This window comes from Homo sapiens, chromosome 1, assembly GCF_000001405.40.
Source record: "Homo sapiens chromosome 1, GRCh38.p14 Primary Assembly".
Taxonomy (NCBI): domain Eukaryota; kingdom Metazoa; phylum Chordata; class Mammalia; order Primates; family Hominidae; genus Homo; species Homo sapiens.
In genome coordinates, this window is record NC_000001.11 from 236,572,154 (window position 1) to 236,589,040 (window position 16,887).

General features: G+C 36.4%; 1 protein-coding gene across 1 annotated transcript in view; it reads right to left on the reverse strand.

Moving 5' to 3' along the window:
- HEATR1 (HEAT repeat containing 1) overlaps nucleotides 1-16,887 on the reverse strand; it is a 55,512-nt gene that overhangs the window by 23,149 nt on the left and 15,476 nt on the right. Inside the window, exons 13-26 of the mRNA NM_018072.6 lie at nucleotides 15,795-15,890; nucleotides 15,249-15,337; nucleotides 14,088-14,299; nucleotides 13,667-13,788; nucleotides 12,872-13,063; nucleotides 10,860-11,043; nucleotides 10,583-10,719; nucleotides 9,069-9,261; nucleotides 4,627-4,796; nucleotides 4,066-4,224; nucleotides 2,508-2,750; nucleotides 2,049-2,180; nucleotides 572-675; nucleotides 258-401 (exon numbers count right to left, since the gene is read on the reverse strand). Coding sequence (NP_060542.4) covers nucleotides 258-401; nucleotides 572-675; nucleotides 2,049-2,180; nucleotides 2,508-2,750; nucleotides 4,066-4,224; nucleotides 4,627-4,796; nucleotides 9,069-9,261; nucleotides 10,583-10,719; nucleotides 10,860-11,043; nucleotides 12,872-13,063; nucleotides 13,667-13,788; nucleotides 14,088-14,299; nucleotides 15,249-15,337; nucleotides 15,795-15,890 — 2,177 coding nt within the window. The remainder of the gene's footprint in view (nucleotides 1-257; nucleotides 402-571; nucleotides 676-2,048; nucleotides 2,181-2,507; nucleotides 2,751-4,065; nucleotides 4,225-4,626; nucleotides 4,797-9,068; nucleotides 9,262-10,582; nucleotides 10,720-10,859; nucleotides 11,044-12,871; nucleotides 13,064-13,666; nucleotides 13,789-14,087; nucleotides 14,300-15,248; nucleotides 15,338-15,794; nucleotides 15,891-16,887) is intronic.

The following is a 16,887-nucleotide window of genomic DNA, read 5'->3' on the forward strand; positions in this document are numbered from 1 at the left end:
AGGCACGCTACTGAAAAGTTCAGAGGAAAGTAGGCTGTACAGTGAGTGGCCATTTACTACATGACACAGGACACTAAGGTCAGTTTGGGGCACCAGCAATGGATACCTAAAACCAATCTTTTAATTTCACCTATAGTACTTGCTTTATTTTACAGACTATCTAAACAAGAGAAGAGTATGTTGAAAAGAGAATGTTAGATAAGATGGGCAAGAATTAGAGTCCTATTCTCTCACAGATCAAAGCCAAGTGTCATTACCTTGATAGCAAGTTAAAAAGAGTTGGCACCAATATCTGAGGACTTCTGAGCTTCTTTTTGTGCTGCAGTAATTCCAGGATGAGAGTTACTCTTTGCCAGTAAGAACCTCCAACTTCCTGAACAGATTCTAGATCTTGTGATTTTCTGGAAAATGGAGAAGACAAAACGTTGGAAAAGCAAACTCTATCATGTGCTAAGTAAAAACCATTGTGCCTGATTATAGCAAATTGATGAGTATCAAAAAGTTCCAATGGTTTCATAACATTCAGAGTCAGGGAACAACAGCATGTGCTCAATGCATTTGTAGCTCTTACTTCTGCTGCATTTTTTGCCTTCTTTTTTGCTGAACTGTGCCCAAGGGTTTAGCTTTATCTGGTGGCTCCAGTTCTATTCGGACTTGTTCAGCATTAACGGAAATCTGAAATATTGAAGGAAGAAGAGTTGATGATATAATCCATTGGGATAAAATTAGAGCAATAAATGTTAACCCCTAGGAAGGATTTATTCAATTAAGAGGGAAGAATGACTTACTGGATATGCATCTGAACCCCCCCCAGCATTGGATGCTACTACCTTGTTACAGACTTCTTGAAAAACCAGAATGAGAAGAAAGCAAAGTAGGGAAGAGTATACACTAAAAGCTCTAGCCAACATAAATTCAACTTCAGATTTTCATTTTAACCAAGCTCTCCTACTACCATGCACTTGCTTTCTATACAATTTGTCTTGGGAGTCTCAAGTTACAGCCCTGCACTTGTCTTGATTATGATACAGTATCACTTCTCCAGTCCAGAGTCACTCAATTTCACGCTCATCCCTTAGAGTGGACAACTAGTAATGCAATACAGAATCATCCATACCGATTGTTTCCAAGTGCCGGATCAGATATGTATATTCTAATCAGCTAGGAAGGAATAAGACATATACACACATGCACAAAAACAGATTTACTGCCCCAGAGATTCTTTAGATATGGGGTGGGATCCAGATATCTCTTTTTATAAGGTTCTAACATCACAACTAAATCTTTGGATTCTGATTCAAAGAAAACAACTATAAAAAATACTTTTGTGATAACCATGGAAATATGATTATGAACTAGGTATTAGATAATACCAAGGAATTATTTTTTTTTTTACTTCTAATGGCATTGTAGTCATATCCACTTTTCAAAAGATGCACACTGAAGTACAGAGGGATGAAAGTGCATGACATTATGAGATTTACTTTAAAATATTTCAGCAAAGAAAAAGAAGGAAAAAAGATTAATATGTTAAAATTCTGAGAACTGCTGAATCTAGATACTAGAACTTTGTATTATTCTATATTCAAAAAAGAGAATAACCAGGTGGCTATTCTGATAATAACAAGGTTTCAATATACGTATAAAACCAACAAGCAGAATTTCAATTCCATTATATGTCATTAAACAACTATTTAAATTAAGTAGAATAATGTTACCCAGTTCAATACTGAGCCATTGACTCATTCCTATTCCTTGCATAAAGGAATAGGTAGATTCCGTCTAATATGAGAAAGATCACACACACACATATTCCTACACATCCTATCTGGTTAAAATTATCAACAAATACTTCATAAAATAAAATAATGGTAAAGATTTAAAATTTTTATTTTATGCCTCTCTCTGACTTACTTTTCCATGATTTTTGTTAATGGTAACATCTGACCTCTTACAAGCACTATAAAATACAGGACTCTTAAACATGGTGTCCCTTGGAAGAGACTATAAACATTAATAAAAAAAATTACAAGAAGTTTGCAGCTTACCCCTTTAAAAACACTGCTGACAGTCTGAGCACAATGTGAGTTTTTACAGTTCACCAATAAATCAAACAACATTCTTAAAAGCTTCTGCTGAACTTTTTCATCTGATATGGCTGCAAAAAATGGTTTTGTAATCTAGAGGGGGTAGAAAAAAGGCAACTGAGTTCAGTGAACAAGTTTAAATTCCAGAAATAATTTTTATATCAACCTCTCTCAAAATACAAAATTGTTTCCCACTTAATTTTGTCAGTTAAAATGCAATTCTTTTTAATGACCCATGTACAACGTTCAGTTTTCAAAAATGGGTCAAATACATCATTTTCCTTTAAAACGTCTAGTCCACCTGTAACTATCTTCTCCAAATAAAATATTAATCTTTTTTTTTTTAACGCTGTTCCTGTTGCCTTCTACCTTTAAATGCTTGAACATGCTATGCCTTAGTTTCTGAAAGAAATCACTGACCTTTTCAAGGGCTGTGATCTGAATGGTTGGCATTCCCGCGTAAAGTTCCTTTGTTGTGTGCACAGCTTTTATAAATATATCTAGACTCTTCGGATCCTCATTTAAAAGGGAAACTGAAAATTCATTATACTTTCCCAGAGTGAGATGCAGAACCATGGCCTCATCTTTCAGCACAGCTGTGGGCTCCTTCTGGATCTTTTCTAGCAGTTGTTCAGCCATAGGCAATAGCTGAGAAAGCACCATCTAAAGATCCAAAGACTTAGTAGTAAATAGTTATGTATACTGATATGTTTTTGCTCACTCTACAGAGACACTCAAAGCCTGCTGGAAGATGGGAGTTTAGCCTGGAGGAAAAAACCCAATGATGGTAACTTCTTAGACATGGAGACAGCTATTAATTCACACTAAGGCACTCAGGTCCTTTCTGACAGTTCATGTGTAATGCTCAAAAGTGCTAAACCCTTCAGAGATGAGCAGAAAGATAATCTGTGAGCATTCCTCAAGACTTGAGAACAGAAAACACAAACTAAAACTTTAGAGAATAAAAATAAAGTTTAAGATTCCCTAAAACACTGTATGTGTCCTTCAATGTTTCCAACTTGGTATAATTAATATTAATTCAAATTATGTATGTAAATCTTTAACTGCTAAACTAGGGGCCAGCAAATTATGGCTTGCAGGTCAAATTCAACAGACCACCTGTTTTTGTAAATTTTATTTACTGAAACACAGCCATGCTCATTTGTTTACACCCTGTCTGTGGCTGCTTTCCTGATACAACTGCAGAGATGAGTAGCTGCAACAGAGACTGTGTGGCCCCAAAAGCATAAAATATTTCCTATCTGGTCCTTTACCCAAGAAATTTGTCAATTATTAATTTAAACTATACCAGGGACAACTAAGGGCTGAATGCAACCTGTTTGTTCCTACCAAGAAAGTGTAATCAAATGGTCTTCAATCCATTTGGCTCATTTTAGTTCTCTAAGCCCACAGTCAGTCTAGGACTGATGAAGCACACAGGCATTTCTGTAACACTGGGATGAAAGAACCTTTTTTATGTTGGTCAGCACATGCCATCACATCAACAAGTGTTTCACAACTGCTTTCTTTTGTAACACAAGCTTCTTCGAAAACACAATGAAAGCTCTAAATATATATAATAAACGAGCAAATGATTTTGGAATTTTCATAGACTCGTGTCCAAATATATTCCTTTGTATAGAATTTTCACTTGAAAAACAGAGATGAACCAACAGCTTCTTTCAGCAGTGCAGCCCCATGAGACACGAGACTGTTAAGTTCATTTAAAATAAACTTAATGATTAGACAGGGACAACACATTTAATTTTAAAATAAAAAGAAACTCACCAGTACTTGTCTTTGTATCTTGTATCTGTTTTTCTCTACCTCAACTCATCCCCCTCTCAAATTAATATTACATTTATCTCTTCTGAGCGCACACATGCAACTCTTACAATTGTCTTCTTCACCCACAAGCAGTTACAACAATTCTTTAGTAACATCACAGGAATGTACAATCCACTTAAATGGCACATACCTCACCGTTGACTCCCTGAAGTACTTTCATCAAATCTTTTGCTATATAAGATGGGCAACTATACACACAACTAAGTAAGTTTTTCAAAGTTTCAGACAACTTCTGATGAGATTTCAGTTTCTTTTCTCTCTGTAGTTCCTCAAATAAAGTAGCCAAATCCTAAGATACCAAAAAGAAAATTGGATAAAAAAGGGTTAAGAAACTACAAAGGCTAAATATATTAATTACGGAAGACTCTTACCCAAATGATGTGACATTGTTTATAATTTTCCATTTCTCCTTAAAACCTTAATAAGAAACGTTATTAAAAACACACAGCTGGCTTACTATGAAAAGCTACACACTAAACCTTTATCCAATGAAAAGAACTAAATTGAAATATGACATTGCTATCTTTTCAAAAGTAGGGGGACACAGATGTACAGATATTGACCTATCAGTTCCTAAATCCAATGACTTAGTCCATCAAAATCCCTACACAGTGAAATGTCGAGAATGGAGAAAATTGCTCCAGTACACAGAGGCATGAACACACTCAATCTTCTTTGCTAACGAGCTTACCTGAATAACATAGGCAGCATCTGAAGTGATCTCCTCTGCTTTAGAAATCAAATGATCTATTATCAGATAAAACGGGGATGCCACTCCACTGAGGGCCTGGAGACACTGAATGGCAGCCCTACGAACTTCTTTTACGGGGCTTCCCAGGTTAATGAGTAAAGATGTCACCACTAAAATCAAAGGAAAAAAAAATTTAAGAAACAATTTTAAAAACTGAAACAGTACAAAATTTACATAGTACCAAAGGTACTTGATAAAAAGTTTCCCTTCGAATTCAAACTCCTTCTCTGTTCACTGTTTGAATATTTAATATTCCAGAGAAAGGTTAGGCATATGTTACCTGGTGCATTCTTTTGAAAATACACAAGAGCATACTATAAACTCTGTTCTACACCAACTGCTATCACATATGAGCTGGACATTGCGCAATGGTGCAATCTCGGCTCACTGCAACCTCCGCCTCCTGGGTTCAAGCAATTCTCCTGCCTCAGCCTCTTGAGCAGCTGGGATTACAGGTGCACGCCACACGCCTGGCTAATTTTGGTATTGTTAGTAGAGACTGGGTTTCACCATGTTGGCCAGGCTGGTTTCGAACTCCTGACCTCAAGTGAGCCACCCACCTTGGCCTCCCAAAGTGCTGGGATTACAGACACATCTAAACTCTTGCGAATGTTTTCCATAAGTACATACATATCCAAATTACATCATTCTTTTTTTTTTTTTTTTCAGATGGAGTTTTCCTCTTGTTGCCCAGGCTGGAGTGCAATGGCACGATCTCGGCTCACTGCAACCTCTGCCTCCTGGATTCAAGCGATTCTCCTGCCTCAGCCTCCCAAGTAGCTGGGATTACAGGCACGCGCCACCACATCCGGCTAATTTTGTATTTTTAGTAGAGACGGGGTTTCTTCATGTTGGTCAGGCTGGTCTCGAACTCCCAACCTCAGGTGATCCGCCCACCTCGGCCTCCCAAAGTGCTGGGATTATAGGTGTGAGCCATCAAACCCGGCCAAATCATTATTTTTTAATTGTATACTCCAATGTATTTTCCATATTTTAAAAACCGGTACCTTACTGGTAAAGTTTAGGTTGTTTCTATTCTTTTGTCATCAAAACAATGCTGCAACAAACACCGCTGCACATACAGCCTTGTACAAGCGTGCACGGGAAATTACCCACCTGTGCATCGTACTCTACAAATATTTGGTCCCAGACTGGTGTGTTTTGATTTTACTTTTTGATAGAGAAATGTTAGAGTCAAGTTTTTCTTCTACTTTTTTTCTGGTGCTTAGAAAGGCCCTCCTCACTCTAAGTGAATTTAGAAAGTACCTCTCTCTATATTTAGAGGGAGAGATCATATGTACCTCATGCTTTCTTCTAATGCCAGAGCTAAGTTTATGTTAAATCTTTAGTTCACATGAAATTTCTATCTAAGGAATGAGGTTGGAGTCAAACTTCCTAATGTTTCCAAATGGATAGCCAGATGTCCCATTTAACAATCCACATAACCATCTCACAGATCTTTGATTTTGCCTTTATTATATTCATACATTCCATAAGTATTTGAAACTTGTCTATTTCTGCCGGCTAGTACTTCTAGAATCATGTTCAATGAGAGTGATGATTTCAGCAGGAATGCCTTTGTTTTCCCAATTATGAAGTGAAAACGCTAGCTTTTGATTTGAGGAATTTTTGATCATGTTACTCCTATTCTGCTGTCAATCAGGATTACTGATTTTTGGCTAATGCCTTTTCAAATCTTTGGACACTTTATGGGTTTTGTCCTTCACTGATACAGTCAATTATATTAACATAGTTCCCTTTACTGAACCAATTTTATATTCTGGGCATGAACTCTAGCTAGGTAAATGATTTTTATAAATATGCTGCTAGAGCCTATTTGCGAATATTTTCTTTAGGATTTTTACATAATATTATTCAAAGCAACATGACCTATAGTTTTTGTCTGTAGGCTTTCTCAATTTTCAATGTTATGCCAGTTTTAAATAAAGAATCTGGAAGCTTCCCTTCTCTATGCCCTGCCCAGTTCAACAACATTGAAAAAATCTGCTTCAAAGATCTAGTAGGAATGCATCTGTGAGACCAACTGCGCTAGGGTTTTTAAAAAGATGTCTTTGGAACAAAGAGATATCTAAATTCCTTTTACAGTAATTAGTTATTTAAGCTTTATTTCATATCTACTGCAGCAAACTACGGTCATTTATATTTTGCTAGAAATTTTCCATTATACTTTCCATTTCTGAAATACTAAGATAAAGCTTGACAAGGTTTCAAACCTGCCTAAGAAGTTCATACAGGTTGAGCAACCTTGATCCAAAAATTCCAAAATCTCAAATTTTCGGAGCACCAATATGACACAAGTGGAAAATTCCACACCTGACCTCATGTGACGGGCTGCAGTGAAAATGCAGGCATACAACTGTTTATTCAGTGTCCCCACAGAAAAAAAGACCCTCCCAGCCCCCTGCAGCTGCAATGTATCTTTTTCACAAAGCCCAAATTCTTCCACACAAGCATGCCCACAAAGGGCAATACCAATGGAAAACTGAAGTTCTTCCATCTTGCTATTTACAGTCAAAATGACATATATGACTCAGAGGCCACTGTCAAAGGACAGTAAACATTTAATACCAAATTGGAAAACAGAAATAGTTATCTCTAAATAAAATATATGTACCTTTTTGAAAACCCACAAGTTTAGCAGAAAATAACTATTTTAATAAATTGCTATCTCCATACAATGGAATACTCTGCAGGCAGTTGTAAAAAGATAAATTTTTCCATTTATTAATATGGAAAGATGTCCATATTAATTGAAAAATTAAAGTTAAAAAATGTATAGAGTTGTTCTTATCCAAATATAACTAGAAAAACCTTAACAGTAAACTCACCTAAAATAAAGACCGAAATTTTGTAAGCGAATAAAAAATTACTTTTGTGGAATTTTATTTTAGAAATAAAACTTGAAATTACATATCTACTTTAAATGTAACAAAATTTGGTTACAAATGTAATTATGTGCTCTTTCAAAGAACTAACAAAAAATAAACACTGAGGAATTGTTCAGGGAAAAGTATACGATCATCTAACTTGCTTTCACAGAACATTTACAAAGAGTAATTTTGGAATTAAAAAAAAAACAACAAGAAACAAAACAAAAAAAAACCAAGGACATCTTCAAATTTCCCCAGGGCCACTCCTATGCCTCTGATATTAATAACATTACAGTTTGAAGCATTAATCATGTCCATTATTCTAATCAATTTTTTCATCTTCAACCATTCTTCTCTGATCTAATTCTGCCACATCCCCTCATGTCAATAGCTCTGTAAGTCAACCCACTTTTCAATATCGCATTCATTGTTTCATGAAATTCTGCATCTTTTGCAAAATTTGCAATTCTACATTATAAAAAAACTTAACTTTCAGTTATTTCATTAGAGAATGCCGAACCTGAATATGATTTATGCCCGATAAAAGAGATAAATGCAGGAGGGTTTTGTTTTTGTTAGCTCATTATTAAATTGTATTATGATGATCTGACTTCCATATCTAACCCATTGCTGCTACAGCTCAGAAAATGAATAGCTGATTATTAAGAACTCATATAATCACCTGCCATTTCTATTATTAAACTTTTGTGTTTGGTGAGATTTTGCTAGTGCCAGTAACTTAAAAGCAATACTTAGAAGTGACCAGAAATATGTATAGATGTACAGCCCTTTTTTTTTTTTTTTGAGACAGGGTCTTGCTCTGTTGCCCAGTTTGGAGTGCAGTGGTGCAATCACAGCTCACTGCAGCCTTGACCTCCCAGGCACAAGCCATCTGCCTACCTCAGGCAACTGAGTAGCTGGGACTACAGGCACGCACCATCACGCCCAGCTAATTTTTGTATTTTTTGTAGAGGCAGGATCTCATCACGTTGTCCAAGCTGGTCTTGAACTCTTGGCCTCAAGTGATCCTCCTGCCTTAGCCTCCCAAAGTGCTGAGACTATAGGTGTAAGCCACCTCGCCTGGCCTTTATCGATTTTTTTTTTTTTTGAGATGGAGTCTCGCTGTGTCACCAGGCTGGAGTGCAGTGGCACAATCTCGGCTCACTGCAACCTCCAACTCCCTGGTTCAAGCAATTCTCCAGCCTCAGCCTCCCAAGTAGCTGGGATTACAGGCACATGCCACCACGCCCAGCTAATTTTTGTATTTTTAGTAGAGACGGGGTTTCACCATGTTGCCCAGGATGGTCTTGATCTCCTGACCTCATGATCTGCCTGCTTCGGCCTCCCAAAGTGCTGGGATTACAGGCGTGAGATACCGCGCCTGCCCTCTGCTATTTTTTTTTAAGTTATAATTTTCCAAACTACATAAACCATATAGAGAAAGCATGAACAGTTGGTCATGACAAAACATAACAATGCTACTTTTAATACCTGGAGAAGATATGGATGCCAGTTGGTGTTTACACTGTGTCTTCTGAGAAGAAAGCATTGCACAGCCCACATAAAGAGCTTGAGTCTGCAGCACTGTTTTCACACTGCAGTTTAGTGGATTTGAAAGGCTAGAACCATAGGTCCATAAAACAGAACAGAACTTGAATAACTGAAAAACATCTTCTAGATGCACCTAATTAAAAAAAAAAAAAAGCAAACTTTTAATTCTTACTCAAATAAGCTGGTTCCAAATCCTCTTCTCACTAGTGTACAATTATAAAGAAACAAATAATTTAAGGCAAAGTTTTGCTTTGTCTAATCATTTCAAATTATTCCATATTCCATGTTTTAATGAACTGGGAAGATGTCAATGAAGAGTGATATTCAGAAGCCTCACTATAACCTTGCACTTGAAAACACAGAACCAAGACAAGAGCAGTATCTGGGACGCCTAATTAAGAAAATACTTCAACAATGTGCTGAGCAATGCCAACTCCATGTCAAATGCTGTAGAGAGAACAAGTCAGGCAAGAACAGGAACTGACCACTGGGCCTGGCAACATGGAGGTCACTGGTGCTGGGGATGAAATTTCCTGAGTAACTTCACGTGTGCTAAATAACCTCTCTGAACACCAGTATTCACATTTTTAAATGGTATTAACCAATCAAAAAGACTGGGCTGTTGTTATTTTTAAATATAGTAATGGGCCTAACATATTAGTAGGAGTGTAGCAATGTTAGTTTCTATTCAACCTACCGATTAGTATTGTGATTGTACTCTTTTACAGGGCCCGTGCTATTATATACTCTTCACTGTTTACAAGTCTACTTTTGTTTACATTATAAACTGTCATAACCCAAATAACCCACAGTATCTTTTTATTTATTTATTATTTTTTTTGAGATGGAGTCTCGCTCTGTCGCCCAGGCTGGAGTGCAGTGGAGCGATCTCCGCTCACTGCAAGCTCCACCTCCCAGGTTCATGCCATTCTCCTGCCTCAGCCTCCCGAGTAGCTGGGACTTCAGGAGCCCGCCACCACACCCGGCTAATTTTTTTTGTATTTTTCGTAGAGACGGCGTTTCACCATGTTAGCCAGGATGGTCTCGATCTCCTGACCTCGTGATCCACCCACCTTGGCCTCCCAAAGTGCTCGGATTATAGGCGTGAGCTACTGCGCCCAGCCCATCTTTTTTTTTTGAGACAGAGTCTCACTCTTGTCACCCAGGCTGGAGTACGGTGGTGTGATCTCGGCTCACTGCAACCTCTGCCTCCCGGGTTCAAGCGAATTCTCCTGCCTCTGCCTCCCAAGTGGCTGGGATTACAGGCCCCATCACCATGCCTGGCTAATTTTTGTATTTTTAGTAGAAATGGAGTTTCACTATGTTGGCCAGGCTGGTATTGAACTCCTGACCTCAAGTGATCCGCCTGCCTCGGCCTCCCAAAGTGCTGGGATTGCAGGCCAGCCATATCTTCTTTAAGGGTAGAGTACGCCTGAAAAGGAGGAGGCTTGTACCTTTATGAAAAGTTTCATCAGAACTCTGAAATGAACAGCATCGGCACCATTGAGCATCATCTCAAACAGCCCAATGAGCAAGTGCAGATAGTCCCTGCTGTCTTCTTTCAGTTGTTCAGGATTCCACCATATATCACCTACAAGGACATGGAAAGAGAAATGATGCTAGATCCTACATGAACATGCTGGGAGCTTTTTATTCAAGACAGTCATTGTGGAGTCAATCATTCAGTTTTGCAGAGTATCACATTTAAAAGATTCACAGCTTGTATCTTACCTTTAGGAAAAGATTTAGGAGCTTTCAGTGCATAAATAAATTTTTTCAAGGAAAATACAAGAAAAACCGAGTCCTCCACGGCCACCCTCTGAGTGCTGTTGAGCTCTTCTACATAATGTGCCCACAGCTCCACTGGGATCCCTCTGTCTAACATCAGTTCAATGTGCCATTCTGAGGGGATTTCCTGAAATGTTAAAGGAAACAAAAACTAGTACAAACTAAGGGTTCTGAACATGGGTTATATGAATTCCTCTGCATAATATGCAAAAGTTTTGTTTATGTGTGCATTTTGGTGGGGAAAGGATTAACAGAACTGCTTTGGTCGGATTTTTAAAGAGGTTTATCACTATTCACAAGGAAAGACAAAGTTAAATTTTATCTATGTCTTACCTTGAAACATTATCTCTAAAAACAAACTTTATTCATATGAACTGTTTATCCAATAAAGGGTAGGAATAAATAGGCATATTTCTTTTTTTTTTTTTTTTTTTTGAGACGGAGTCTTGCTCTGTCACCCAGGCTGGAGTGCAGCGGCACAATCTCAGCTCACTGCAACCTCCGCTTCCCAGGTTCAAGCAATTCTACTGCTTCAGCCTCCCGAGTAGGAAGGATTACAGGTGCCCGCCATCATGCCTGGCTAATTTTTGTATCTTTAGTAGAGATTAGGTTTCACCATTTTGGCCAGGTTGGTCTCGAACTCCTGTCCTCAGATGATCCACCCGCCTCGGCCTCCCAAAATGCTGGGATTATAGGCGTGAGCTACCGTGCCTGGCCAAAATAGGTATATTTCAAAACAGGAAGATAAACAGTTGGATTGCCAAGACATAGTTAAAGGGAATTCTTTGATTTCACTGTTTTACCACTAATCTGAATAAGGTACATGGCAAAAATCTCCAAACCTGCAGATGATTTTAAACAAGCAGCAAAATGTTAGGTGTTTAGAAATTATACTGTAAGTGCCAAAAGAATGCAGAACAGGTGTAAGAAAATGACAAATATGACTCTGTACAAGCAGTACAGAGTAATAACTTAGAAGGAAAATAATCCAAAGCCAGATTTACAATGTAACGTCTCCAGTGAGGGATTTGATTAACTCAACGTGCTGCTACAGGCGAAAACATGCTCATGACCTCGAGAAAGGTATTAAAAGTAAAGCAATATAAAATAACCTGTTATCTACATATGTATAATAAAACACTCTATTTGTCCATACTTTTAACACTGAGAACCAGTATAGTTCAGGTCATCATACTTCACAAAAGACACCAAGAAACTAAAAGTTAAGAAGGGCCTATCTGGACTATTTTTCAAAATATGAAGATTTTACTCTTTTTAAAGTTTACACATTTTAGCTAACAATGGCCATGATCAGAACTTATAAAATCCTGCGGGTATACGTAAATGTGAAAAAGATATAATTCATTTAGTAAATCCTATAATGAGAAGCCCTCTAAAATTTGGAGGACAAATAAAAACAAAATCCTTACATATAGCAGATATTAAAAAAAAAGTCTTGCTACCTCAAAACATGTCAAATGTAAACAGCTGAAACATGTCCTTTAGTAATACTATGAAAGACAGTAGTAGGCTGGAGGGATACACATCTATGTAATATTAAAATTATTTAAAGCCTAAAAGATCTATTTTTAGTAAACAATTGAATGAAATAGTATTTTGTTCAAGCACTAACACACCAAGTGAATTCTTCATCGCTAGAGGTAGTTAGGTGTAGCTTGGGTAATTATCCAATAAAGACAATAAAAGAGAGGAGAGTCAGGCATCAGATACAAAATATTGCAACCCTAAAATTTTATAATTCAACTAAACTTTCCGCAAAAGCAAGGGAGTGCCTAGTTGACTATCTCACTGCTACCCAAGACTGCTTCACATTTCATCCAGCTACTATCCACAGACTCAACATCTCGCCTCTGATTTTCAGTTTTGCTGTGACTAATAGGCCAGGCTGTTGTTTTATTCAACATCCCACTTTCTGGAGATTCTGCTTTCCTTACCACTGCAGTAATGACACTTTCAAGCTTCTTTATTTTTTTCTGCAACAAACTGAAGACTCTTATCGCAAATGGAAAGTGGGTTTCTTTTAAAGATGAACAACAAGAGACGAGCACAGACAGGATCACATGAAACGTTACTTTCTGCTTCAGGTTAAAGGACTCCTCCTCACCCACGCTTATTAAATCCTCCACCTTGAAAAATAAACACACTCTATTACCAGTTGCTCTTGATTTTCATAAAACAATTTTTTCAACTCAGGTCTATCTAGGTATTATGTGTTTTACATTTAAAGTGAGATGACAAACAGAAAGCCTTTATAAAGTACTAAGCACTGATTTCTAAGTAATTATAAGAATAATTTCAGAAACTGTAATGAACATAATTGCACTTGCCAACTGGTTAATGTATTTAAATCACACATCTAATCCTTTACAAAGGTTTATTTAATAAGGCAAAGATAATTTTCTCCTCTTTGGGATTATATTTTGCTATTTTAACAACAACAACAACAAAAAGACTAATATTTTAAATGGGAATGAGAAAAAATGGTGGTAAAAAGGATATATTATTCTTATGGGTGTGATATGGATCCACATTGAAAAAATATATAAAATGTTAAAAGATTTCAAACATTGCACAGAATATATTAAACAACACTGCAACGTTTAAAGTAAAACCAAGTACTCAAGAATAAAAGAAATTTTTTTTAAGAAAAATCTAGTAAAGCAAAAGCTGAGAATTTAATAAGAGTATGAGAAAGAAATCCAGGGGGTGGACTTTCAAAGCATACTTACCATCTTTAACATTGAAGAAGGATCTCCTAAATTTATATTATCAGCCAACAACTCAATCATCTTCTGATTTGCTACACCGATTAGTTTTCCTGGCTTTGTGCTTTTAATTACATTTTCAAGAGCTGTAAAGTAAAATCGAATGCAGAGAGCTCTTATGTCACCAACACTCAAAGAATCACATGAAGAATTCAGGCAAACATTTTACTATTGTTTATGAAGGTTTGCTTTCTATTTTTCCTTGTATCCGATTCTGAATTTGTCTATGAATTGGCTTCCTTTTCACTGTATACTTTTTATCTTGGCAAAAATTTTAAAAGACCTTACTGGCATATAAGCATGACCAACAATAAATTTTAAATTTTCCTTGTTTTCTTTTGTGTTATCTGTTCACTTTTTCTAAAAAAACAACTGAATTTTTTACCTTCTTCCCAGCCTCTTAATAGAGGGTGCAGGGAGCAGATTCCTGATTTTGATAAATATATAGCAATTTTCATCTCAGCAGATTCCGTATCATCATTATTGATAACCATAAATGGCAGCAAACATACAACCACCTGATTTGACAACTGATCATTTTCACTCAGTATCTCTTCTTTAATTAATATGTCAGCGGCTATCTTAAGTACCTCGTACCTAAAAGACATGCAAGCACACTTGGTTGAAAGACACATTGGAAGGCTTCAATTGGGCAAAAATTCATCATTACATTACTCCAGCTTAACTGACAATATCCTGGTCTCCTGACCAAAACTATTATTCAGATACACTAAGACACCACTTAAAATCCATGCCAATAACAGAGTTATCTGTGACAATATTTTTATTTATTTATTTTTTGTACAAGTGCTGGGATTACAGGCATGAGCCACTGTGCCTGGCCAACAATACTTTTAATCTGCTCATCCTGTCTAATCTTAAAAAAAAAATAATAATTTTTCTTAGAGAAATCACTAGAGGTTAACTATAACATAAGACATATCACACTAGATGTCTCAACTCTACCGGAAATCAGGTTCACTCAGGCACTCAAAAAAAATGAACCAAGCACATCCTACATGATAGATATCTACCCATACGATAGATACAAAAACACGTAAGACACACTCTCATCCTCTATGGAGCTTGCTTACTTTTTCTTGCAAAAAGCTTTGGTGCCAAAAATGAAATAAACAGAGCTCATTAAAAACTTACCACAGATGGTATCATGTGTCTCTGAACTTATTTTTTAATTTGTTTAACACATTGGTATTTGTTTTTAATTATAAAGTAAAAATTACATAAAGCAGCAAATTAGAAAGTCCTACCCATCTTACTTCCCAGAATGCAATATCATACATTATATACTTCCTTTTGCATTTTATTAAGAGAAATTCCAAACATAGAGAACAGTATAATGAACACACACAAACACAAATTAATTAACTGTATAATGAAAGAGAGTATTACAGTAAGATCTGTTCTACTACCACGACAAAAGGGTCATGTAATCAAAGCCTTAAAAAAAAAAAGAAGAAGAAATAGAAAGAACTTGATATAAGAACTTCATCAATTCAAAATAGTATGAGGAGAAATGAATACATACCATTCTCCATTCTTTGAAAGTTCTGCTCTTTGAAAGAGATTCAGAAGATTTGAAATCGTCACTTCTGAACTGAAGTGTTCTTTGAAAATCTAAAGGGAAAAAAATATCCAGAGTAGATTTGTACTTGCTTCAAACATGTATGGCGCTTTTTAAATGCGAATTTTAAAAAGAATGAATTATAAGGAATTTCTCCCAGGAATCCTAGTACAAATTAAAAGTTTTAAGATCTATTTCTCAAAAGTGGCATTCATAAGACAATTTCCACAGGTCCCAAGGTATTTGCTATTGATAAAAATATGTTAAAAGCAATATAAAAATTCACAAAACATTTTTCCTGTTTGAACAACTTCCATATATATTTAATATATCAAATTGTGAATTTCTGTGAGTTTCTCCTAACCAGACTTAAGTCTGTGCTCTCCAGAGAACAAATTTCCCATGGAAAAATAATTTCCAAAAATATTCTAGTCTCAAGCAGAGAATCAAGTGAGAAGGGCAAGGAAATTTACAAAATTGTATACCTCAACAAATGACAAATTCACTCACCTCAAAAGCACTTATAGCCGACAAAACAACATCTATATTATCATCACCTAATCGGGCTAAAACAGCTTCTTTTATGAAAGATTCATCAACACCCTCCTGAGCAATAAAAGAAAAACATTAATTTAGCTGTTGCCAAAAATCTCTTAAGGCTTTGCACTAGAAAGGAAGTATGGTTTTGTGAAAAACACTCCAGAATGACAGTCTAACACAGGCTCTGCTCTGGATGAGGACTGAAACACACTAGAACTAGATAATCGCTAAAGGGCCTTTTGAGATTAATAATTGTTTGGTACAAATCCTTTTCAAGTTTTCAGTGAAAATATAGTAAATATGGTATACTCCAAATATAGTTTTTGTAGTTAAGGAGTTCATCTTATTAAAGTGAGAGCCCAGATATTGACGGGATATAGACTAAAGAATAAGAATGTCTAATTTAAATCCTAGCTCTACCACTTACTAGTTGTGTAACTTTAGTCAAGTCACTTAACCTTTCTGGATCTCACTATTCTCACCTATAAAACAGGTTTGCTAATAAATAATACCTACCTGCAAGGGTTGTTAGAAGATTAAAAAATACATGTCAGTCTGTAGCACAGTGCTTTACACATAGTACTGTTAAAAGCTAGCTAGTATTATCTAAATTTTTACAAGGATAAGGACATGTACTACAAAGCCAGTCTGCCAAAAATAGAGATCATTTTTTAAATATAACAAATAAAAGAAAACAATGTATATTCATTCACAGAGAAAGAAAACTAGGACTGCTAATCAACCTGAATATATCCCTATCTATATGTGGCAGGCAACTAAATAATATAAAAAACATAGGTCACTCTGTTGGGAGAAAAATGAAAATTCACAGAATTCACAAAAATTAAGTTAGTCAGGCACAGTGGTGCATGTCTATAATCCCAGCTACTCTGGAGGCTGAGGTGGGAGGACTGCTTAAGCCCAGGAGTTTGAGGCCAGCCTGGATAACATAGCAAGACCCCATCATTTAAACAAATCCTCAAGAGCTAATAAGCAGCCATATATCTGAACCTGGAGTTTAGAATAAAACCTATGTCCTGTCATCAATGGAGAAAAGAAAATG